The following is a 27621-nucleotide window of genomic DNA, read 5'->3' as shown; positions in this document are numbered from 1 at the left end:
TACTCAATGCTAGAGGTGGGCCTGGAAGGAGGTGATTGGAACATGGGGGTGGCTTCTAATGGTTTAACACCATCTTTCTACTGCTGTTCTCCTGATAAAGTTTTCATGAGATCTGGTCATTTAAAAGTGTGTAGCACCTTCCCTCCCCCTTTCCTCCTGCTCTGGCCATGTAAGACATATCTGCTTCCCCTTCTGCCATGATCGAAAGTTTCCTGAGGCCTCCCCAGAAGCCATCATGCTTCCTGTACAGCCAGCAGAACCGTGAGCCAATTAAACTGCTTTACTTTATAGATTACTCAGTCTCAAGTATTTCTTTATAGCAGTGTAACAACAGACTAACACAATATCCATTGAGCAAAACAAGTACATTTTTGTAGGTAATGGATATATTTAGTACCTTGATGTGGTAATGAAACCCTCCCCATAAGGTTGACAAGAATTGCATGTCACGTTCTGGACAGAAATATAGTTATAATTAAGCATTTACCAGGCTGCCTTCTGGCCCACTTCATTGCTGCTAAAAGTCATGTAGCACTGGACACTGATCATTTGTATTGCCCTTGTTTCTATAGGTAGGATTTCTGACATTAGGGTCATAAGACTGTTTAGGAACTGATTTGTATCCCCATTGTTCCTATAGACAGAATCTGACACAAGAGTTTTAAGACTTTTGTTTAACTATTACTTAAGATGTTTTTCAGACCTCAAATTCCAGCAGTTTGAAGATCCCCACAGAGTAATAGGACTAACATGAGAATGCAATTTCCTCATTTCCCTGTCCCATGACTTCACTCTTCACTCTTCAGCTAATCAATGATCTCCACACTTTGGCTTACTCCAAGGACACTTAAAAAATCCTAGCTCCAAACTCCTTGGAGAGATGGATTGGAGGTTCCCTCCCATCTCCTCATTCAGTGACCCTACAATTAAAGCTCTTTCTCTGCTGCAATCTGGTGTCTCAGTGTATTGACTTGCTGTGTGCATTGGGCAATGAACATATTCTGGCTGCTATTTAGTGGCAACCCCACAAAGGGACACCCCTCATGGTTATGTGGCTGTGGCTTGGTGCTCCCTCACCCATTTCTGTGGCCCAGAGGAAAGCCCAAGTGGATGCCTGGCTTCTTTAAACCAGGGGCTGTCCCTGGAGCCTCACTTGCTGGCAGGGCATTGCATACATTTGCTTGCAGCAGAGAAATGGTTTCTGAATCTGAAAGATGTCTTCTGAATCTGGTGAGTACTTCCAAGTGCAACTGACATCTCCTTTCCATTCTTCTGATCTGTTGGCCTCTTCAGAGGTCTTGTGACCTCTTCGGAGATCCTGTTGACCTTCCCTAACCTATAGGAAGGGCCCTGTTTAAGGGGATTTTCCCCAATTGGAAGGAGAACGAAAGGCACACTGTTAGAGGGAAGTACGCCAGGACCCTTCTGGTCACAGTTCTGAAATCTGGTTTCAGAATTTTGACTTGTGAGGCCTTGTGTTTGTTTTTGTCTTGCCCCATTTGTGTGTGGGCAAGCTGGAAGGAATCACTAGCAGAATATCAGCAGGCCTGACTGGGAGTAACCATTTTGGTGTTTTGTCTGTTTTGCCTGGCTAAAACTTGGAAACTGAGTAGAATAACGGGTGTTTGTGTCTCTGTTATGTGTATCTTGTAATTTTGTCTCTGCTGATATGGGGAATGTTAATTGGATCCCTTGTGTCTTATAAAATTGAGTGGCTTTCACCTATGAACCCATGAAAATAATGAAAATGGTTTTCCTTAGTAATTAGCGATCAGGGTGGTCAAAACTCTGCTCTTCTGGAAGCTGCAGTTGAAGGAATTCAGGAACCCAAAAAGCCAGTAAAAGGGTAAGAATTCCTTCCCAGTTGGCCTCCTGGCCTCTCTTTTTGTGCGGAATCCAGTTGAATGGACAGTAAAAATCATTGTCTCCTCTGAAAGGTTTTAATTTGCGGGCGCAATTACAGTACCTGGTTTTAAGATCATATTAAGGGAAAAGGCACTAAAGAGGGTATGAAAGACAGTCCTGAATCACCAACCCTCCTCCATGCCCTGGCAGCAACCATGTCAAATGGAGAGAGAATCAAGTGGTTTGGGGAGGAGAGTGCAGTGATTGTGGACTTTGCATTGGAATTCAGTGATGCCCTGTCACGGCAGAAAGCAATATAGGGCAGAACTCAGTACCCATGGAAGGGGCATTTAGACAAGCCCTAGCCAGGGGCAAATCATCCAACCCAGCGGTCAGAAGCTAAGTCTCAACAAGCCCTGTCACCATGGGCTAAAGTGCTCTGGGGTACAAAATAAACTTTAAAACCAGTTTAGGCCACAAGGACTGCAATTCCTGGGCAAGTCCTGGTTCTGTGCTGAGCTTACAGCCAGTGGACTTAAGGTACTTAAGGTAGTGAGACAATCTAGTGAGAGCGCCCAAGGGAGTGCTTGTGTCACCCCTCTGCCAAACCCAGACAGCATAGCTTGCAGCTCTGGGAGGGACTGCTTCCCTCTGCTTCAGAAGAGAGGGGACATTAAGATGACTTTGTCTTACAACTTGAATATCAGCTCAGTCACAGTAGAACAGGGTACCAGGCAGAGTCCTGAGGCCCCCATTCCATGCCCTAGCACACAGATGACATTGCTAAACACACTGTGCACCATGAAAGAATCAGCTTCCTTGAAGGGAAGAACCAAGTCCTGGCAGGATTCATCACTTGCTGACTAAAGAGTCTTTGGGCCCTGAGTAATCAGCAGTGTTAGCCAGGCAAGACTCACTGCAGGCCTTGGACAAATGGGTTCACATTAAGTTAAGAAGTGTCTGCACAGCAAAGGAAATAATCAACAAACTGAAAAGCTAGCCCACAGAATCGGAGAAGATATTTGCAAACCATCCATCTGACAAGGGATTAATAACCAGGATATATAAGGAACACAAATAACTCTATAGAAAAAAACCTAATAATCTGATTTTAAAATGGGCAAAAGATCTCAACAGACATTTCTCAAAAGAAGACATACAAATGGCAAAGAAGCATATGAAGAGGTACTCAACATCACTGATCATCAGAGAAATGCAGATCAAAACTACAAGGAGATATCATCTCACCCCAGATAAAATGGCTTATATTCAAAAGACAAGCAATAACAAATGCTGGCAAGGATGTGGAGAAAACAGAACCCTCATCCACTGTTGGTGGAAATGTAAATTAGTACAACCACTACGGAGAACAGTTTAGAGGTTCCTTGAAAGGACAAATCTAGAGCTACCATATGATCCAGCAATCCCACTACCCAAAATAAAGGAAATCTGTTTATGGAAAATATATCTGCACTCTGATGTTTACTGCAATGCTATTCATGATAGCCAAGATTTGGAAGCAACCAAGTGTCCATCAACAGATTAATGGATTTTTAAAAATGTGGTACATATACACAATGGAGTACTATTCAGCCATAAAAAAAGAATGAGATCTAGTCAATTGCAACAACATGGATGGAACGGGAGGTCATCATGTTAAGTGAAATAAGCCAGGCACAGAAAGACGAATGTGGCATGTTCTCATTTATTGTTGGGATCTAAACTTCAAAACAACTGAACTCATGGAGATAGAGAATAGAAGGATGGTTACTAGAGTCTTGGAAAGATAGTGGGAGGGCGGGGGGAAGATGGGGATGGTTAACAGACCTAGTATTGACAGCACAACAGGGGTACTGTAGTCAATAATTTTACATTTTAAAATAACAAAAATAGTATAACTGGATTGTTTGTAACACAAAGGATAAATGCTTGAAGGGATGGATACCCAATTTCCCATGATGTGGTTATTATGAATTGCATGCCTGTGTCAAAATATCTCATATACTGCAGAAATGTATATACCTACCATGTACCTACAAAAAATAAAAATTAAAAATAATTTAAAAAGCCTACATCACCAATAATTACTCTTGCTGCACTCTATGCAAATAATCAAACCAAATATAATAAGACTCAAACTTATTTTGCCAATAAGTTGGTCCTACTGATTTTTATTTGGTAGAAATGAGGCACTGAAGAGAGAAAAATTATGTTTCAAAAGAAACTACAGTACACCTTTTATTAGTATACTGTGTCCATTATTTTGAGTTTTTCTTATTTGTCTACAGTTTAGTTTGAATCCTGAATTCTTTTCTAAGCATGTCTCCAAACTTATATTACCAAATTTTTATTCCATTTCTCTGACTTATACTCAATTAAATTGCTACTACTGTTTTCCTGAGTAACTGCAAGCATACTTTGTGATACACAAACTATAGTTTGCCTGCAATGCCATCTCCTGAAATGAGATACAGCTGTTTAATGGAACTGGCCTATTCCAGGAATGGGAGACTGGTTTACTAGGATCCTTTGCCACTCAGCTACTTACTAAATTTTTCCACCAACTCAGCTTTTAATGTGTGAAACTTCTAGGGAAGTTTCAGACAGGGGATGTCGGGGCTCAGAAACCTATACCCCCAAATATGGCATTTTGGCAAGAGATGTATGTCACAAACCCTCTTAATGATCCTTTAGCTGGCTTCTTATGGGAATGGGAAACTGGTTTTGGTCCCTTTTATGGTTCAGATCTGTGTCCCTGCCCAAAATCATACTGAAATATAATCCCCAGTGTTGGAGTTGGGGCCTGGTAGGAGGTAATTGGATCATTGGGGTGAATTTCTCATGAATGGTTTAGCACCATCCTCTTCGTGCTGGTCTCATGATAGTGAGTGAGTTTTTGCAAGATCTGGCTATTTAGAAATATGTAGCACCTCCTCCCTCTCTCTTGCTCCTGCTCCTGTCATATAAGACACCTGCTCCACTTTGCCTTCTGACATGATTGGAAGCTTCCTGAGGCCTTCCCAAAAGCAAAACCCATTATGCTTCCTGTATAGCCTGCAGAATCATGAGCAAATTAAAACTTTTTTTATACATTATCTAGTCTCACGTATTTTTCCCCCAGGTATTTCTTTATAGTAATGTGAGAATGCCCTAATACAGGCCTCCTTACAAATTCTTTTTATTATAATTATTGTTGTATTTCTTTTCTATTTCCCACAGACAACAAGGACTAGTAACAAGAACTGACATTTTTGCCATGCAGAGTCAAAACTCTAGACTTGGCACTCAAGACCATTTACAGGCCACTGCAAAGCAGTTTTATTCCTCAAATCCTGATTATGGTCCCTATCTGTGCCCCTTGTCAGCAAGACACAGCCAGAGAAGTCATCACCCAATTCCCTCCTTATTGATCACAGCTCAGGATAGAGGATTAACAAGACAAAGCAGAACTGAAATCATTCCTACAGGGTTGACAAGAATTGCATGCCGCGTTCCAAACAGAAATATAGTTAGAGTTAAGCATTTATCAGGCTGCCCTCTTGCTCATTTCCTTGTTGCTAAAAGTCATGTAGCATTAGATAACTGACCATTTGCACCCCATTGTTCCTATAGGTAGGATTTCTGGCATTAGGGTCATAGGAAATTAAAAATTGATTTGTATCCCCATTGTTCCTATAGACAGGATCTCTGACATTAGAATTTTAAGGCTTTTGTTTGAGGATGGCTTAAGATGTTTTTCAAACCTCAAATTCCAGCAACCAGTTTGAAGACCCCCACAGAGGAACAAGATTAGCATGAGAATACAGCTTCCTCATCTTGCTGTCCCATGGCTTCACCCTGTACTCTTTGACCAATCAATGATCTCCACACTTCAGCCCACTCCGAGACACTTAAAAATCCTAGCTCCAAACTCCTTGGGGAGATTAATTTGAGGTTCCTTTCCATTTCCCCATTCAGTGACCCTATGATGAAACCTCTTTCTCTGCTACAACCTGATGTTTCAGTGTACTGACTTGCTGTGTGCATCAGGCAATAAAACTATTATGGTTATAGGAACAGTATCACAGTAGAAGCATGCATATGTCCAAACTCATCAAAATGTCTACATTAAATACATGCAATTTTTTCTATGTCAATTAAACCTCAGTAGAGCTTAAAAACAGATCTAACATATTTTTAGAGATCTTATATGTATTATAACAACAAAAAAGCTTATTTGATTCCCCATATCTTCATTTAGCTAACTCCTCGATTTCTCCATCACAGAAAAATTTCTCATTATAGATTCATTGTCCCCTTTTCCTCATTTTCCCCATCTCTTTACAACCTGCTTCTGTTAGCCTATTTTTTCTACCACATCAAAATTAACTTGTGTCAAGGTGCCCAATGACCTACATGTTGCCAAATGCAATGATCTATTCCTAGTCTTCCACTTATTCAAACTCAGCAGCATTTGCTAGAGTTGATCACTTCCTTCAACTCAAAACAGTATCTTCTTTTGGCTTCAGTGACACCCATACTCCTGGTATTTCTTTCACCTAATTGGCGACTCTTTCTCATTCTCTTTTGTTGACTCTTTTCCTACCCAGTCTGAAAATGTTGAATGATTTCTGAGGTTATCTCATCTAGTAGCATGGCTTTAAGTGTCATTTAAATAGTAAAAGCCCTCAAGATTGCATATCCACTCCTGACTTCTCTCCAAACTCCATATTCATATATATCTTTTATTTCTTCATTTAAAACTGAAATAGACATTTTAAACTTATATCACAAACTGAACTCTTGTTTAAATCTCCAGCCTCAACCCTCAAGCTTATTCCTCCTCATTCTCCCCGTCTTAGTATATGGTATCACCATCTCCCTCAGTTGATTAGGTGACAAACATAAGAGTCATCTCTAATTCCCGCTTTTCCTACACCTCTGCCATATTCAATTCATTAACAAATCTTGTCCATTCTCCCTCCACATTATATTCCCAATCTATTCACTTCACTCCATCTTCACTGTCACCATTTTAGTCTAATCATTCAACATCTCCTTGCTCGTTAAAGGGTACAAAGTTTCAGTTAGATAAGAGAACTAAGTTCCAGAGATCTATCGTACAGCATGGTGGTTATAGTTAGTAATAATGTATTATATACTTGAAAATTGCTAAAATAATAGATTTTAAATGTTCTCATAACAAAAAATGATAAGGATATGAGGTGATGGATATGTTAATTGGCTTGATTTTATCATTCCACAATGTATGTGTGTGTGTGTAGATACACACACATATATATAAACATGTTTATACCAAAAATACATACAAGTTTTGTCAATTAAAAATAAAATTTTAAAAAATTTTAAAAAGAAAAGACAAAAATCTATTTAGAAACACACACACATAGAGAAAATGATAATCTCTTAAAGGGAATATTTTAGCAGCTTCCTAATTAGTCTCCTGGCCTCCACTCTTGCCATCTATTCTCTACACAACAGCCAGAGCGATCATTTTTAAATGCAAAGTAGGTAGATCATATCACTACCCTATGATATGGTTTGGCTCTGTGTCCCTACCCAAATCTCATTTGGAATTGTAATTACCCAAATCTCATCTGGAATTATAATCCCCAGGTGTGGAGGGAGGAACCAGGTGGAAGGTAATTGGGTCATTGGGGCAGTTTCCCCCACCCTGTTCTTGTGATAGTGAAGGAGTTCTCATGAGATCTGGTTGTTTGATAAGTGTCTGGCGCTTCTCCCCACTCTCACTTGCTCTCTTGCTGCTTTGTGAAGAAAGGTGCCTGCCTCCCCTTCGCCTCCCTGCCATGACTGTAGTTTCCTGAGGCACCCCCCAGCCATGCAGAACTCTGAGTCAATTAAACCTCTTTTCATTATAAATTACCCAGTCCTTGGTAGTATCTTTATAGCAGTGTGAAAACGGACTAAAACACCCCGCTTAAAATCTTCCAGTGGCTTTTCACTGTGCTTAGAATAACATTCTCTTTACTCCGTTGAAAAGGTTTCATATGATCTAGTCCTTTACTACTTTTCTGGCCTCATCTTTTATTACTCAACCTCTTGCTGTCTATGACTCAAGCACACTGACTTTTATTTGTTCCCCCAAAGTGCAAAGCACATTCTGACCTCAGGGCTTTTGCATAGCAGCTCCCTCTGCCTGGTATGCTCTTCTCCCCAAATCTTTCACCTCATACAGATCTCTGCCCAAATGTCACCTCTTCAGAGAGACCTTCCTTGCCAATCTCCATCCCTTTTCCCTGTTTTATTTTTATTTTAGCACTTACCACTATTTTACATTATATATTACATTTCATTTATTTATTATTTGTCTCCACTACCTTAATGTCAGGTCCATGAAAGCATATAGTTAGTTTTGATCATTGCTATATCCCCAGTAAGGACTCAATAAGTATCTGCTGAGTGAATGCAACTGGCACAGTAAATAATCTAAGATGAATGTTTTTAGAGTTAGAAAAAACCTTAAGTTAATCATTTCAGTCCCGTATTTTTAAAGGAGGAGTGCCTTATGCTAAAATAACCAGAGAGATCAAATGGCATATTAAAGGTGACAGAATTTTTTGGTGACAGAGCCAAGACTAGTGTCAACGTCTTCTGATTCCTAGCCCAGTGCTCTTTGCTCTGTTCCATTCTGTCTAATGCTGTCAGTCATACTAAGAAAAATATTGGGAAAATTGTTTGCTGAACTATATAATGTCATTCTGCTTAAATGAAAGAAAAAGACAGAACTGTGTCATGAATTCAGCATTTTCACTGATTTGGCAGCTGCATAGTGACCATCTACCTTTTGCAAAGCACTGTTAACATTGCAGGCATAAACAAGAAGTGACCCTTACTCTCAAGAGTTTATAATCTAGAAAAGGGAATAAACCCAACTAATATAATGCAAGACAGAATGTGATGAGTCTCACATGAATGACAAAAAGTATTATGTGGGTCCAGAGGAGGAACTAATTATGTCCAGCTGAGATGATTATAAAAGTCATGGCCTTAAAGGATGACAAGGGCAATAAGTGGGGATTAGCATGAACAAAGGTATAGTAGAGTGAAAAATGCATATATTCTAGGAAGAGTAAGTAGTACAATTAAGCTGATCTATGGGGTCTCTGTGGTGCTAACATAGTTGGAAATACAGTTTGAGGTAAGAATTAAAAGGAATTTTCATATGTGACTAAACAAAGATTGTGGACTTCATTTCTTAGGTGCTTAACTGAGATTTGCTAAATTAATATTAAATAAATGGATTGAGGACCAGTGTATTTTCTGGACAAAGGTAATGACATGATGTGAGAAATACTCTTAGAAAGACTGATCTGGCAGCTGGGTATAAGATGAATTGGTATGGAAAGACTGAAGGTAAACAGATCACTTTGGGTGGTTAGAAATGGGCCAGGAAAAAGGTAAAGACATCCTGAACTAGGTGGTGGGGTTTTTATCTTAATGTTCAAATCAATCATGCAAGCTTTGACAATTTACATGGCAGGAAAAAGGATTAAGTAATTCAGTGCTATACTCTAGATCAGAGACTTATTTTTTTTACCACAAGCCATAGTAATAAATATATTTTATATCATGAGCCAATGTGCATGTATGCACAGATGTAACACAAATGACTGAAATAATTTTTCACAAACACACTTTTTCTTATCACTCTATAGGCACATTGAAAGTTTCTACTCTATTCAATTTTCTATTTCACTTAAAAAACACTATTTGCAAATTTCAACACTGATTTATAACCTACTAATGGGTCATGTAACTCATGGCTTGAAAAATATTGCCGTAGATTTAGTCTAAGTGATTGGGATGTCTAGGTCACAGGATTCACTTTACACCTGTCTAATCATCTACCAAGAGCTAATCAATTCGACCCAAAGCAAATAATTCAAAGCCTAGAGAAAGTATGCTTTTAGTAGCCTGTTTCTTTTAAATGCTTTTATTTAAAAAGATACTCACCTACCTCACATCAAACTATTTCAATAATCTCAGGTCTAGTCACCCTGCCACCAAATTTACCACTTCCAGAGTAATCTGCCTACAAACATTTTCCATATGTTACTCCTTTTCTGCTCAGAAACCTTTCATGGTTCCGTACTGCCTAGTCCAAAATGCCCAAATTATATGTCCTGGCTTTCAAGGTCCTTCATAACTTAGCTTCACCCTTCCTATCCAATCTCATTTTCCAAAACTCCTTAACACACTTGTTCTTGTTAGATTAATTCTACAAACATATACTGCTTATCCCTTCCTCTATAATGAGCTCATATTGTTGCCTTTGTCTTGACCAATTTTTCTTTTTCTTCACCAATCGAAAAATACCTACTCTAGCCCATCTACCCCATGAGGTATCTGCTGCTAATTACTTGGCTTCACTCTGAATCATGTCAACACCCACACACAGAACTATAGGGTGTTTGACCTTAAGTGTGAATAACAGTACTGACTCTACACCTTCTTCACAAGGTTACTGTGAACATTACATGCAATAACATGTGTAAAGGACCTAGAATAGTGCCTGAAATGTGCTCAACAACTACTTACCACTGCATGTTCTTTCCCTGGAAAAAGGTATTACATCTTATACAACATCTAACATAGGGTTGAGTACATAGTACGCACTTAGTAAAATCTGATTGATTTACTGATTAATCAATTCACTCTTCTCCACTATTGTATTCAAATAAATAAAATTTTCCCAGTCATCAAACACAGTCAGCTAAACAGGTCAACCAGAGACAAAGGTTAAACCATTTACTTTTTCATTTGGCTTACTTTTCAGAAATTAGTTATGGGAGGTTCCACAGCAAACAGACCATGAAAGGCAGTGCTCTTCCCTGACCATCTTATGTGTTGCTGTGACTCTTCCTCTACCCTTAAAATTTCATTTGTTGTATTTTTCTCTGCTGACTAAATTGCAACAAGGGACTCAAAACACAAATGTCAATTCTGTGGCTGTGGCTATTTTTATAAAATCTTCACATCTATGTTGAATGGGAAGTCCCATTATATTAAGCATGATAGTAACTCTAATACACTCCCATTCTCTTACAGAACAGGCTTATTTCTGAAATCACTCCGATTATTAACCTCAAGGTTTTTGATAAAAGTATAAGGAAATTTCCCCTTGCCTCAGCTCCAAAAAAAGCAGAGCTCTAGTAAATGGAAACTGGAAGATCTTGAGGAACTTTGTCCACTGAACTGTGGGAAATGGTGACAGATACAGAAATAACGTTCCTCATTGTTTTTCACAAAGGACAGGTAAAGGAAACAGCACATCATTTACATATAGAAATAAATGTTTCTTATTACATTATCATCTATTGTTTGCAAATTGCTTTTGCTCAACTTTCTGCTTTTAGTTAAATCATATTACAAACAATTCAATTACTATGTTGTAAACATGCTAAGCTAACTTCTTGTATAGCTCAAATGTATCTGTTATTGTTTTGAGACTTAATGTCACAGCTTAAAGGGTCCTTAGAGCTTGAGGGACTTAGCTCAAGGTCATTCCATTCAAAGTTGAAGGTTCACATTATTTTTTTTTCAGAATTATATTTAGAAATTGAAAGATTATCTGTACCAAGGTGCGAGGGTTCTCTTTAAAGAAGTGAAAACATATGGTTTACAAAAAAGTAAAACATAACCATATTGAATTATATGAAAACATGCTTAACACCAATCATAATAAGATAAACCAAATAAACCTATAATGAGATATAATTTTTTCCCTATATGCTCAGGAAGCAGCAAAAGATTTGAGGGAAAACTGCTGACAAAGATTTGGGGAAACGGGTATTCTCAGTCACTGCTGGTGGGAGCATAAATTGTAGGACAAATTGGCAGTCTTATCAAATTTAAAAAGCATATAACCTTTGATCCAGCAATTCTCCTTTCAGGAATTCTGTATGTGTATACCATGGGATACTATGCAGTCACATAAAAGTGAAATATCTATCATTACTGATATGAAATGATGCTCAAACAATATTAAATCCCAAAAACCAAGTCACAGGACAGTTGCACGAACACTGCCTATGTGTATAAAAATAAATATAGACACATAAACACAAATAGAATGATAGAGAAAATAACCAAATGTACACTTTTTAAAATATATCAGCAGTTGGCCAACATTTTGGTCTCAGGACTGCTTTCACTCTTTTTTTTTTTTTTTTTTTGGACAGAGTCGTGCTCTGTCGCCTAGGCTGGAGTGCAGTGGCATGATCTTGGCTTACTGCAACTGCAACCTCCGCCTCCTGGGTTCAAGCGATTCTCCTGCCTCAGTCTCCCGAGTAGCTGGGACTACAGGCGCCTGCCACAATGCCCGGATAATTTTTGTATTTTTAGTAGAGATGGAGTTTCACCATATTGGCCAGGCTGGTCTTGAACTCCTGACCTTGTGATCCGCCTGCCTTGGCCTCCCAAAGTGCTGGGATTACAGGTGTGAGCCACTGCACCCGGCCAGGACTGCTTTCACTCTTAAAAATTAAAGAGAATACTAAGAAGCTTTTGTTTATATAGGTTATGTATTTACTATATTAAAAATTAAAACTGAGGGATTTAAAATATTTAATAATTTACTTAAAATAATGAATTATAATTATATGATTTTATTACATAACATATTTATCACAGAAACTATATTTTGCAAAAGCAAAAAGGCCATGAGAAGAGTGTTATTGTTTTTATATTTTTGAAAATCTGTTTAATGCCTGGCTTATCAGAAGACAACTAAATTATCATATCTGATTCTACATTCAACCTGTTGTGATATATCATTTTATTTGAAATATATGAAGAAAATCTAGTCCCACAAAGATAAGTAGTCGGAAAATAAGGAAGTATTTTAACAGCCTTTTCAAAAAAGTGTGGATGATCTTCTTCGATACTATACCAAACACAACAAGTGGCAGTTTCTTAAGGATTAGCTGAAGTGTGGAATCTGAAATCATATCAATTATTGCATCTTGGCCTTTTGGCTAAGACCAAGTGTGAAATCATATCAATTAACTTTGTATACCTTGCTACATTAAAATCCACTGACCCATATTGCTCTTTGAATGGATCTTTTATACATGCATAATTTCATAACAACATACATTGGTTATCTGGAAAATACTACTTCATTGAGTTATATGGATGTTCTAAATGTTGATACATTTTATGATACCTCAATATCAAAACATCATATATATTAATATCATTATTAATTTCATTAGTACAGTTGTCCCTCAGTATATGCAGGGAATTCATTCCAGGACTGTCCCCTATCTCGCCCTGCATATGCCAAAATCCACACATATTCAAGTCCCACAGTTAGCCCTGAGGAACCAGCTTATTAGAAAAGTTGGTGCTCCATATAAGTGAGTTTCATATTCCACTAATACTGTATTTTCTATTCATGTTTGGTTGAAAAAAATCCATATGTACCTGGACCTGTGCAGTTCAAAATTGTGTTTTTTGAGGGTCAACTGTATTATTAGGAAAATAGCTTTGAACTTGTAGAACCCATGAAAAGGTCTTTGAGGCCCTAGGAGTCCTTGGGCTACACTTTTAGAATCACTATTACATCCAACAGAATATTTATGGAAGGATATCCATGAAACTGAAAAAAATGATTATATCTAGGTAAGGAGTTGGAGGCAGAAAGGAGATTTTTTCAATGTACATATTTTTATTGTTTGGATCTTCTACTGGGTGTGGGTATTACATATTCAAAAACAAATAAAGACTGACATAAATTTTCTTTTCACTTCCTTAATAAAGCTAAGTGACTTCATCAATAATTCTTAACAAAACAAAAAAACTTAACTCTGAACAAAATAACAAACTTTGAGAATTGGTTATCATATTCCTGATGACTTTTGTGATCATTTCATAAATGCCACAAATCCATTATGATTGCTTAAAAAACATTACAATTTAGTTTCTGAGACAAATTGTGAAACACAAATTTCACACTGAAATTTCACTTTTGCTTCCCCTCCCTTTCTCTCAAATAGTTGATTAACAGTAAACAAGTATTTAAAGACAGTACAAAAGACTTTTGTCATTAAAAAGATATATCTCTAATATATCTGTCCTGTAATATTTTCATTTCTGTTTTACAAAGCACAAAATGTTTTACAAAACTTCCAACAAACTCAATTCTCAAACATCCTGTTCTATGTAAGAGATTTTGAGAAGTAGCAATTCAGCACAAAATGTAATAATTTATTACATTTTGAAATGGTTTTGATTTTGATCAAGCCTAGAGGAGGCTTTAAATAGGCAGAAATGGCCTTTATGAGGGGCTAAGGGCCCAGCTGTGGATCTCATTTGATGGCCCTTCAGAGCCATGTGTCTCAGCACTTGACCCATTTTTGCCTTAGCAAAAGAGAAATGTTCCTATTAGAAAAGTGAAATTCCATGAACTTGGTTCACTTAAAAGAAAATCTATCTCCATCAAGTGTAAGTGAGGCACCTAGTTATTTAGTAATCACCTGTCTAGTGTCAGGACACTCAACTCAAAACAAATTTGAGGAAGAGACCTGTACTCCTTCTGAAAGACTCAATACTGTAACTTTGATAACCTAGGAGACTTTAGCATAACTACCAACACAATCATCCAAGCAGAAAATAAAGAAGTTATTTGCTTCACTCCTTCTTTTCTCTTCCCCCTTCCCAATTTGTCACCATCAACTCCTCCAATACAGAAGACCCTGAATTATTATCTGGCCCTTGACTTTCTCTCTAGTCCTTCTTCAACTTGTCCACTTGATAAATTACAATCCACCTTTCAAGATAATGTTCAGATGTTTCAGCTCTGTGAGTATTTCTGGATAAGTTGCACTTTTGTTTAGTGGACCTTTACTCATTACTGAAATCCCTGTCCAGTCATCTCCTTTGAAAAGCCTTCTCCCACCACCTCCTACCTACACCCAAGATGAGTTCTGGGTTCCCATAATATTTTGTATGTGTCTCTACTATAGCACTATACATGCTGTATTATCATTGTTAATGCATCTCATCTCTCTACTAGACCATGGATCCCCTAAAGGCAGAGACCATATCTTATTTATCTTTGGGTTTTAGTGTCTAGGACAATGCCTGGCACACAACAGGCTGTTAGTAAATTCTATGTAAAGGAGTGAAGAGATACTCTTAAGGACAAGAACCTGAACAAGGAATGCAGTATAATGAAAGGAACCCAGATTGGATCCTGTCAGATCAAGATCCTGTCAATTAGCAACTACCACGTTTCTAAATAACATGACCAATCAACAGCTTCAACACAGTCCTTCACTCCCATCCTCTTGAGAGCACTATCTTTACTTACTTCCTATTAGTTTTCCCCTTTGCCTGATTGAATACTCCTCCTCAATCTTCCTTACTGTTTCTCTCTTATCTCCCCAGCCTCTAATGCTGGCATGTACCCACAGCTCAGAGCTTGAACCTATTCTATCTACATTCTTCAGTGATATCATAGATTTGCTTACAACTTACATGCTGTTCGCTCCCATATTTATTTCTCCATGGTAGACTTCTCCCTTGAACTCACATATCCAACTGCCCATCCAACATTTCTACTTAGATGTCTAAGAGGCATCTCAAATGTCCAAAACCAAACTCCTGATTCCATCTTCCCCATCTCATTAATCAACAACTCTACACTTCTAGTTATACAGGCCAAAAAATCTGGATTTGCCTGTGACTTATTACTTATTCTAGTACCCCATGTTCAATATATCAGAAAACTTGTTGGTTCTATCTTCAAAATATAACTGGAACTCTACAACTTTTAATTCCTTTCACTGCTAAACCCTGGTTTAAGCCATAATCATCTTCCCTCTGGACTATAGCAATAGCCTCCTGATTGCTCTCCCTGCTCCAGTCCTTGCCCCCTTCAGTCTATGTTCTATCCAATATCCAGAGTTCTCCTTGTAAAATAAACCTGGCCATGCCAAGCCTCTGTTCAAAACCCTTCAATGGCTTTCCATCTAAGAGTGAAAGCCAAACTCTTTACAATGGCCTGCATAGCCCTACATGATCTGATCCCCCACCATCACCATCTTTCTGACCTCATCTCCTAATTTTCTCTCCACTACTCTCTCTGCCCCAACCACTCCAGCCTCCTGGTTGTTCCTTAAAGTCTGAACTCTGGTCTACATGGCAAATCCTGAGCCCATTCCTATATACTATCACTGACTTACGAAAGTTAAAAAAATTGACAGTTTTAACAAAAAAAAGAGAGTATCAATACATAATGGTAACGTAGTTAGTGAGGAAATGACTGACTGCCTGTAAATCAAGGCCCATAATTTTGTAGCCCCCACAGATTATCTTTTCAAGAATTCTCTCTGTGAAACCACCACCAAAACAACCCCAAAAAGCATACTAAAACAAGCATGATAAGATCAGTATTTTCTTTATAGCATTAAGGTTGGGATATAAGAATTCTAATTGAAATAAAAGAAAGTGGCTTTCCCCTAATATGTGCTCACGACAATATTCACTGGAGGCCATTAAATGTGAGCCCCACCAAGACAAATTTAATGTCAAAAAGCAGATAGGTGGTTGCCTGGGACTGGGGTGAAGGAGATTTACTGCAACTTTTTAGGGCTACACATATTTTTAGGGTACATATTATACATCAAAACTCATTAATGGGTACATTTTTATTGAATGTAAATTATACCTCAATAAAGTTGATTTAAAATAAAGTATGTGTAAAATATATTTAGAAGTTATATAAATAAAACAATAAAAAAATGGGCACTGCCTTAAAGAAAACTGGCTAGCCATATGCAGAAAGCTGAAACTGGATCCCTTATTGCCTTAAAGAAACTTGAAGAATTAAATGGAAATATATGTGAAAAAATTAGAGAATGCTGTTTTTTTTTTTCAAAAGTAGATAGCAAATGACTCAGTTCATTTAAAGTAGGATTTAATTTACCCCAATATGATTTACACACCACTTTTCTGAAGCCTATTATATCTTGTAAAGGAAGAGGAACATATGAATAGTTCTGCAAAGATTTTGAAATCAGCCAGTGACATCAGGAATTGTCTCCACTCTCAGCCATGGAATATACAACCAGGTTGCTTATTACACTAAGCAGGAGATGAGGAAGGAAAAAAAAGGACTCTTTCTCTTTCAAAATTTAATGTCTAGTGAACAGGTCTGACAAATTATTGCATACCAAGTCCAAAATAACCCAACTCCACTTTTTTGGCTTTCCCCACAGTTCTGCAACTCTGCCCATTTGCTAGGTGATTCTCCTCCTCTGGGCTTCCATAGCACTCTTGGCATTCCTCTATCAAGCTAGCTCATTGTTGCACTGTAACTACTTGTTGATTTTCTGTACTCCCTTCCCTACTAGACTGTGGGCTTCTTGTAGATAAGAACCATAATTTAGAAATTCCTGAATTTCTAACACCTAACATGGTGCCTGATACATAGTAGCACATATAAAGATTTGTGATTGAATGAACCTTGTCATACCCGGACCTGTCACTAAAAGGTACCACAATCCTTCCAATTAGACAAGCAAGAAACCTAATCATCACTTAAGAGACACTCATCTATTTATCTGATACTCCACATCTAAGCCATCACCAAGTCTTGTTGATTTTACCTTCTAACTAGCCCTAAAATGCATCTACTTTTCTCTATAGTCACAACTTCCACCCTAGTCCAAGTTACTATCACCTCTAGCCTGGACTAGTGCAAGCATAACTATTCAGGCTTCTCTTCAATTCATTCTCCACACTGAAACTATTTGATGATGTCACACCCACACCCTTCCTTAAAATCACTTTTATGTCTTCCTCTTACTGTTAAGATGAAGAGAAAATCTTGAATGTGGCAAAGGCTCTGCACTGTCTGTCCCTTACCTACCCCTCTAGCCTAAGCTTATTCTAGTTTCTTGCTTCCTCACTTCACTCCAGCCAGCTGTAGTTGGCCTTATTTTAGCTCCTGGTATTCACCATGATCCCTCTACAGGGCACGCTTGCACATGCTGACCCTTTTGTCCCAAAAGCCTCTCCTTCCCTGTCTTTCCTAGTTAATGCTCACTTACTCTTTATATCTCTGCTTAAGATTTACTTCCTCCAAGAAGCCTTTCCTGATCTCACTGATTAGGTCAAATTCCCCTAACACATGTTATTTTAGTCCATGCATTTCTTTCCGCCATAGCAATTTCACAATTAAAACTTCATACTTATTTGTGTGATGGTTTAAGGGCTGTTTTCTCCACTAGATTTTAAGCTCTTAAAGACAAGAACTGTGCGTGATTTTCTTTACCACTTCATTCCCAGGGCTTAGCACAACGCTTATCATATAATAGGAGCACAGATATTTTTCAATAGGTTAATGAATACACTAATGAAGAAACAATAGCAGCTGAATAATACTTATTTTTACCTTTAGGGATTTTATTTGTTCATTCAACAAATATTCTTTCATCTCCAACTCTATGTCAAGACCTTACTAAAGTGATAGGAATACAAAAGGGCAAAATAGATATGATTCCTGTCCTGATGGAATATACAGAGTGGTTTAATGAAAGGGTTATTATCTTAACAATTTCATTTGTAAAAATATATTTTCCATAACTTGACTAAGGTACTATCTTTATTCAGTAGGTTGTTTGAACTTTCTGGCTGGCAATGTGTTAATAGAAGTTGTTTTTTTAAAAAAAAAAAAGGCTGTTTTGTTCTATCGTTGTCTTACTCTGTCTTAAGTTTTTTCTGCTCTTCAGCTGATTCTCATTTTTTTTGCAGGATACAAAGTAGATTAATGGTGATAGTAGTAGTATAAAGCATCTTCGTTTTTTTTTTTTTGAGGCTGCAAAGCAGATTAATGGTGGTAGTAGTAGCAGTAGTTCTAATAGTACTAGTAGTAGGAACAGTAAATAACAGTCATAATGACAATAGCAAAGTGGAAATAGCTATCATCTACTCTGTCATCTCAAATTCTCCCAACAGCTCTGTAAGCAAAGATATACAAACAGATGAGGAAGTAGAGGCTCAAAGGGGTTCAATAATCTCCCCAAGGTCATCCAGGGGGTAAATGGTAAGAAAAGAATTTGAAACCATGTCTTTCTGACTTTAAAGCCTGTGCCCTTTTCATTCCATCGTATTTCCTTTCAAGCAAGGGAGACTGCTGGAGTTATTTTCTCAGTTCTGCTTCCTGGTATCTCCCTACTAATAAACTTTAATATTCATAAACTAGTTTGTGGGGTAATATTGTAATGCATACAATCATTAAGGAAGAGTGCATGTTTTGAGGATTAAAACATCTTTGAATTAGAAAACTGATTTATGAACCAACCAAAAAGGAATACATATGGAGTGTGCCAAGGTTAGTTGGAAAATTGTCCTCCTTTGACATATATTCTAAGAGTTATTGAAGAACATAAGCTAATGGCTTCTGGAAAATGTCAGAAATCCTATATACTTTCACAGTTTTGCCTGAGTGACTTTTATAAACCAGATTAGCAGAACTCTCTGAAGGCTTTACATTAATCTGACTTAAATATTTCAATTAAAATGGAACATTGATTAAATTTGGCATAAAAAAGCCTCCTAGGCAAGGCTCAGGACTAAGTCAGAAAGACACTGTGGAGTATTAGAAAGTGGCAGAAAGCACCATTGTATTGGAGAAAGTATCAACTTAGTTACTGCCAAGCTGTGTCTTTGGGGGCACATAAATTAATCTCTCCAGGCTTCTGCTACCTCATCTACAGAATGAGGGGAATCAGACTGTATGCTATTCAAAGTCCCTTCTAGTTCTAATCCACATTTTAAGCTACTTATAGTTTGAAAATATTACTGGCTAAATCAAAAGTCTGTGTAGCTAGAATTCCCAGCAAGTAGAAATTAATTAATTAATTTAAAAAGACATCTCCAATCATTAGAGATTATTTGGTTAATAGGACAGGATAAACTTATGCTTTCTCTTGCAGGGGCTCCAAAAAAAGACATTGGCTATTTCTCAAGTATCTTTCTTCCTAGACTTTTCCACCTCACAAACCTATACAGGCCAGTTGGTGTGATTACATTTAACTGCATGCTCCCAACAACCAGTGAAGCAGCAACTAGCATAGTGCCTTGGCAGAGAAAAGATACTCAGAAGATCTTCATTGAGTTGAGTTAAAATGAGAAAATAGGAGAAAGAATGTTATGCGAATCAGCACCAGAGAAGGTAAGTCTCTGAGTTTGCACAGGTGCAAGGAGCAGGTGTTACTCACAGCTGTTAGGGCATTCAGCTTGGAAACAGGTACCTGATGTCCAAAAACTCGAACTTCTTTATCAGTGAGGAAAAATCATAGCTCTTTTGTGGCACATATACCCAAATAGGCTAAGTATATGAATTATTCTTCCTGACATTCAAGGCCCTCCAGTAATTAGACCTACTTTCTCTATCTAACGTTATCTCTTGATATTCTCCAATGACACCCCTGGCTTCACTCAGTCATTAAACTTGAGAAATGCATGAATCTTAAGTTTCAGAATCAGAGAGTGGCCTTCAAATCCCAACTCAGTTCCTCATTAGCTGTGTGACCCGGGCAAGTTACTTAACCTTGCTGAGTCTTGATTTCCTCACCAGTAAGATAATAATACATATTTCATAGGGACTTTGAGAAGTCGTCATTGCATAAGATAAAGAAAATTATAATAATATTAGCTATCATTTATTGAGAGCCAACTATGTACCAGGCTTTATTCTCCCTTCATTGTACCACACACAGGGAGTTGCCCTCCTGTTGGTGGCAGACCTCCAACTAAGAATTCAGTATGGTATACAGAGGGTTTGAAGACAGTTGCTAGTCCAGGCAGGCAGTTAACAAGTGATGGGTATCCCAACAGCAGGCTGTGCATGTGCACCAGACACTTACAGACAGGCTTTTATTCAATAGCAAGGAAATCTAGCAGCAAATGTGCATATCTCAATATTTCTTTCTGTTCCTTGGGTTGTAAGAGACTTTGGAAATTGGAAGAATCCAAAAGGAAATGTAGAGTCACTTTTCCTAATGTGTGGAAATGGAATGGGGAAAAGACCCCCCAAAACTTGCTTTGTTGCCTTGGGCAAGTTGTGTAACTTCTCAAGTTTGAGTTCCTTTATCTATAAATTGGGGCCTGTACTATTCAGTACTGTGGTAAAGATTAGCAATAATGTGTGTAAAATGATTAATATGGCACCCAGCACATATCATAAATAGTGACTGTATTTAGTGTGGCATTAGTTATATTCTTCTAGCTCTGAAGGATTCAAATGTCAGCTAAATACAAGATATCATCCCCATATAGCAGAAAAAATATAGGTACAATTATCATGCTTAATATTTAACAATTTGATGAGGTTTCAAAAAATCATGACAAGTAGCTTTCTTATACTGTTCACAATTCTGGAGAAAATATGTAACATAGGGCCTAGGAGCTGCAGTTTGCATTGATCTCCTATAGTAATCATCAATTGCCCCACACAATTTAGTACTTTATTGCAGCTCATCCTATATACCATACAGACAGCTCCAAATTTTATATATCTAGTTCAAACTTTTCCCTGAATGCCAGATTCATATATTTAACTGTCTACTCTACATCCCCTCTAGAGTATATAATAAGTATTTCTAAAACATGGCCAAAACAGAACTTTTGTAACCCCTCACAAAATCTGACCTCCCTCAGTCTTCCTCATTTCAGGAAATAGCACTACTGTCTACCCTATTAGTAAAACCAAAAACCCAGGAATCATCATGAGGAAGTATAGTCATTCTATCTCTATAATATCTCTTAAATCTGTCTACTTTTTACTACCTCTATTACTACCCTTCTGACCCAAGCCACCATCATCTTTCTTTTATAGCTGACACATGCTGTTCCCTCTAAAATATTTTTCACCCGCTCTTCATCTAGATGGCTTTTTCTTAACCATCAGGGTCCAGCCTCAACTTTATTTTGTTCAAGTAGGCCATCCCCAATCTCAATTAGTCTTTGTTATTTTCCTTATAATGATATATTGCAATATATAATTATACATGTATCCATATGTTTATTCACTTAATCTCTGTCTATTCTCCCCCCTCTCATTATACTTCAAGCTCACTCAGGACAGACATCATACCTTTTTTAGTTTATCTATTTACCCAGAACAATGAGTATTTGATGAATGTTAAAAGAATATCAAATGTATTACATGTGGAGTGAGGGTGAATAACGGTTTCCACTTCATTAGATATTTTTTCACTTGTCCCAAAATGTCCTTTTTACCTTTCACCTCATATGCTCGCCAGGAGGTAAATTAAATAGCATCATGAAGATAATTTTACTAGCACAAAATGTAAGGATAACAAAATCAAAAAATGTTGATTTTAAGAGCAAGGGGGATTGGGTAATTAAACTGTGATTTAAAATGCCTTTTATCATAAAAAATTACAGCACAATTATTTTTCATTCAACTATTATGCTACAGTTTATGGTGAGACTATGATGTCTTGACCATCAACATTAAGCAAATAACTAGGGTACTGACCCAGTAGCTTCAAAACATCATTATTACTGCCCTTCTATCTCATTTTCCCAGAATATAGCTAGAGAGAGTTATCAGACACTGTAAGATGAGCTCCAATGCAAAGGACTCAAAACACACAAAATATGTAAATTCATTCATTCAACAAACATACTAAGTGACTACTATATGACAGACACAGAAGTGGTTATTCCTCCAGGCCAGTCAGAGAGGATCAAGGCAATGTACCCCAGAAAGGAACCAATCTTCTTTCCCTGCAGACCCATGCCCATGAGACTCATCACATAGGCCTCTGCATCTGGTGGTTGCCAGTTGCTCTTCAGGATCCCCACTGGAGCCCAGTGACAAATCATGGAGACATTTCTAACTATATAAAGTACTTCCAGTACCAAGAAATGATTTACAGACTTGAACTGATGAATTATTTTCCTATTTGATGCCAAAGGAGGCCATTTAACTGCCTTTATAAACCACCAGGGATTAATCATAATGACATAAGGAAATGCTAGACAGGAAAAGTCCAGTTTCCTCAACATGCTTGTCCTCCGGACTCATTTCCACCTCAGCTTTGTCTTAGCAGCTTTTGCTCTTGGCTCATACATCCCTTAAAATTCTTGCTGGCTGCAAAAACTCATTTATACAGACAACAATACTTGCCCTGACCACCTTAATTGACAAATTATTCCACATGATTGCATCTCCTTGAATAAAATATTTCTGCCTGAAATATTAATACCTATTTATATGGCTCTTTGCTTTTTAATAGCCCCCTAGTTAACTTTCTATTTTTTTTCCATTCAAGCTCTGTAAATGAAGCACCCTATTAACAACAGCAATTTGTCTTAGACCATTTGTCAGACTGCTTTCTTGTCATGAAATGGCCATGAACTCACCTTTGAAAACTTTCCTGTAATAATAATGATGATGATAATAATACTAATTATAATATAGTCATGAATTGCTTAACAATGGGAATACATTTTGAGAAATGTGTCATTAGGTGATTTCATCATGGTATAAGTATCATAGATTGTCCTTACCAAACCTAGATGGTATAGCCTCCTACACACTTAGGCTATATGATATAGCCTATTGCTCCTAGGCTACAAACCTGTACAGCATGTTAGTGTACTGAATACTACAGACAATTGTAACACAATGGTAAGGATTTGTGTATCTAAATATAACTAAACATAGAAAAGGTACAGTAAAAATACAGTATTATAATCTTATGGGACCACCGTTTTATATACAGTCCATCATTGACAAAAATATCATTATGCATGCATGACTGCAATTAATATGATGTATTAAGTACCTACTATTTCTCAATCATCATACTAAGTATTTTTTTATGATTATACTTTAAGTTCTGGGGTACATGTGCAGAACGGGCAGTTTTGTTACATAGGTATACACCTGGCATGGTGGTTTGCCACACCCATCAACCCGTTACCTACATTAGGTATTTCTCCTAATGCTATCCCTCCCCTAGACCCCTACTCCCCAAAAGTCCCCGGTGTGTGATGTTCCCCTCCCTATGTCCATGTGTTCTCATTGTTCAACTCCCACTTATGAGTGAGAACATGCGGTGTTTGGTTTTCTATTCTTGTGATAATTTGCTGAGAATGATGGTTTCCAGCTTCATCCATGTCCCTGCAAAGGACATGAACTCATCCTTTTTTATGGCTGCACAGTATTCCATGGTGTACATGTGCCACATTTTCTTTATCCAGTCTATCATTGCTGGACATTTGGGTTAGTTCCAAGTATTTGCTATTGTGAAGAGTGCTGCAATAAACATGGGCGCATGTGCCTTTATAGTAGAATGATTTATAATCCTTTGGGTATATACCCAGTAATGGGATGGCTGGGTCAAATGGTATTTCTAGTTCTAGATCCTTGCAGAATCACCACACTGTCTTCCACAATGGTTGAACTAATTTACACTCCCACCAAGAGTGTAAAAGCATTCCTATTTCTCTGCATCCTCTCCAGCATCTGTTGTTTCCTGACTTTTTAATGATCACCATTCTAACTGGTGTGAGATGGTATCTCATTGTGGTTTTGATTTGCATTTCTCTAATGACCAGTGACGATGAACATTTCTTCATATGTCTGTTGGCTGCATAAGTGTCTTCTTTTGAGAAGTGTCTGTTCATATCCTTTGCCAACTTTTTGATGCGTTTTTTTTTTCTTGTAAATTTGTTTAAGTTATTTGTAGATTCTGGATATTAGCCCTTTGTCAGATGGATAGATTGCAAAAATTTTCTCCCATTCCGTAGGTTGCCTGTTCACTCTGATGATAGCTTCTTTTGCTGTGCAGAAGCTCTTTAGTTTAATTAGATTCCATTTGTCTATTTTGGCTTTTGTTGCAATTGCTTTTGGTGTTTTAGACATGAAGTCTTTGCCCATGTCTATGTCCTGAATGGTATTGCCCATGTTTGCTTCTAGGACTTTTATGGTCCTAGGTCTTACATTTAAGTCTTTGATCCATCTTGAGTTGATTTTTGTATAAGGTGTAAGGAAGGAGTCCAGTTTCAGTTTTCTGCATGTGGCTAGGCAGTTTTCCCAACACCATTTATTAAATAGGGAATCTTTTCCCCATTGCTTGTTTGCATCAGGTTTGTCAATGATCAGATGATTGTAGATGTGTGGTGTTATTTCTGAGGCCACCGTTCTGTTCCATTGGTCTATATATCTGTTTTGGCACCAGTACCATGCTGTTTTTGTTACTGTAGCCTTGTAGTAGAGTTTGAAGTCAGGTAGCATGATGCCTCCAGCTTTGTTCTTCTCACCCAGGATTGTCTTGGCTATGCAGGCTCTTTTTTGGTTCCACATGAAGTTTAAATTAGTTTTTTTCCAATTCCTTGAAGAAAGTCAGTGGTAGCTTGATGGGAATAGCCTTGAATCTATAAATTACTTCGGGCAGTATGGCCATTTTCATGATATTGATTCTTCCTATCCATGAGCATGGCAAAAGACAAGAAATAACTAAGATGGGCCAGGCGTGGTGGCTCACGCCTGTAATCCCAGCACTTTGGGAGGCCAAGGCGGGAGGATCAGGAGGTCAAGAGATCGAGACCATCCTGGTCAACATGGTGAAACCCCATCTTTACTAAAAATACAAAAATTAGCTGGGCATGGTGGTGCACGCCTGTAGTCCCAGCTACTCGGGAGGCTGAGGCAGGAGAGTTTTTTGAACCCAGGAGGCGGAGGTTGCAGTGAGCCGAGATCGCACCACTGCACTCCAGCCTGGTGACAGAGCGACACTCCATCTCAAACAAAACAAAACAAACAAACAAAAAATAATAAAAAAATTGTTCCAGTCAAACCATATCATAGTAATGTGTGCAGCAGATAATTTTATAAGCATTTACTAGTGGGAGGGGCTCAGGCTTTGGAAAAACAACCACCTGAGGCTTTATTCCACCATTATCATTTAGTTGCTGTAGAACATTGAGAAAAAAATTACTTAAATTCCCCAAATTTCAATTTCCACATCTATAAAGCAGGGCTAAAATGACATACCTTACAGGATTCTGAGCTGATCAAATGAGATGATATTTATGAAACACAGAGCCTAGCTCCTAGTTCCATAATTTTATGTTGTATCTAAATAGTAAGGCAAAGCTTTGTATAGGGAGCAGCAGATCTTGAAGAGCCCTAATGTAATTGGTGCTACAAGATCTACACAAAGAAGATCTCTCATAAATTATTACTATAAATTAGTATCAGGCAATGTGGTGAAAACTTTTGCAAAATTATTGAGGGAATTCAGGAGAAAAAATAGGCGATTATAAGATGAGGTTAGTCTGTGATGGCTTCACGAGGAAATTACGGAAATGTAAAACATGTAGTAGCAAAGAGGAGTGGAAAAAGCATGAAGCAGGCAGGCAAGCAGGAAGGAATAGAACTAGTGACATGTATTGAGCAGGACCCATTCAGGTAATTTGTAACAGGGTGCTTTAAGAGTAATGTTTTGAAATAAACGTGGATTCAAATCCTAGCTCCATCACTTACTATGGTGTGTGATCATAACAAGTAACTTAGCTTCTCTGACTGTTCATTTCTTCCCTTATAAAATATAGGAAATAATCACCAGCCTTTTGAGGTTGTGAGAAGCTTTGACTGATTATAAAGTATAATCCTTGACCTAATAAATGATAGTTCTCTGAGCATCTGCTCTACTCTATTGGATCTAGTTCATGGCTGGTCTCCCTCTGTACCAAGCTCCTAGTTTTCATTCCTATGGAAGGGTGCCTTGATAGAATATTCTCAGCTTGCTCAAACCACTGCTTTCAGGCTGGGAGAGAACAAGGTAACTGAGACTCCCAAGAATATACATAATGGACCTAGGAAAATCTGCTCCCATGGATCTCAGGAAACTACATAGCTAGGAGTCACAGTGTAACCCCTTCCTAAGAATCCCTTCCCCCAGCACTAACTTGGTGTCAGAGAAGGCAGCCAAGGAGTCAATGGTCACCTTAGGTGATGGACGAGAGCCATTGGAGTAGAACTGGCCTGGATTGCACACGTTTGCCATATACTGCTGTCATGTGCTCTAACTTGTTCAACCCCAGCTATCCAAACTGGTCTCCTGCACAGTTGCTTGCAAAATAAGCCCACAGGAATGAATGCTCTCACAGCCCCTGACTCTACAGAAAAATAAGACTGTCTTTCTTCTTATGGGAAAGTTAATAGTATTTGTTCATCTCCCTGTAGGGCATAGAAACATGATACAAAAACTTTCCTGGGACAAAGACTGGCAATCTCTCCATGGTTGTCATCAATAGGGTTAATAGATAGCCCTGTGTCATAGGTTGAGGCAGAATGAAGGAAATAAGGGAAAGAAAGGAGAGACAAAATAAAAATGCAGAAGAAGGAAAAAAGTCACTCTATGGACTGACATCCAAGGCCCTTTTTTTTTCAGTGATCCTCAGTAGGATTTTTTTTCTTCTAGTTCCCCAAGGTCATGAATATTGTTGACCTTGTTTCTAGAAGGAACAAGCAGCCACCTGCAGGGTAGATTGTGACACTCTGGGAAATGCCCCCCACAGGCCCTGCAAAGTCCCCAGAAATTCCCACCATTAGTTATGCCTATGAGTTACAGAATTGAAATATCTATTAAATTGCAAATATGTTAGCTGAGAAGAGAAGCATTTTTGGTCTTTATCAGTCATGAATTTTTTAGCTCATTGAGACATTAGATTAACCCCAGGAGAAAGCAAGGATCTGAGGAG

At 37.9% G+C, this 27621-nt stretch overlaps 1 protein-coding gene across 2 annotated transcripts in view, besides 1 other annotated feature; it reads right to left on the bottom strand.

Moving 5' to 3' along the window:
* IL1RAPL2 (interleukin 1 receptor accessory protein like 2) overlaps positions 1-27621 on the bottom strand; it is a 1201631-nt gene that overhangs the window by 462672 nt on the left and 711338 nt on the right. The window lies entirely within an intron of this gene.
* Positions 5187-5923: an enhancer, noted in NCBI's record as "OCT4-NANOG hESC enhancer chrX:104543919-104544655 (GRCh37/hg19 assembly coordinates)". NCBI's record gives its function as "activates a minimal SCP1, AML or CMV promoter by ChIP-STARR-seq in primed H9 embryonic stem cells {active_cell/tissue: H9 hESC(primed)}" and the evidence as "EXISTENCE:reporter gene assay evidence [ECO:0000049][PMID:30033119]".

The sequence above is a fragment of the Homo sapiens genome, chromosome X (assembly GCF_000001405.40).
Source record: "Homo sapiens chromosome X, GRCh38.p14 Primary Assembly".
Classification (NCBI taxonomy): Eukaryota; Metazoa; Chordata; class Mammalia; order Primates; family Hominidae; genus Homo; species Homo sapiens.
The sequence above is the reverse complement of the archived record's forward strand: the minus strand, read 5'-3'. Positions and strand labels throughout refer to the sequence as shown.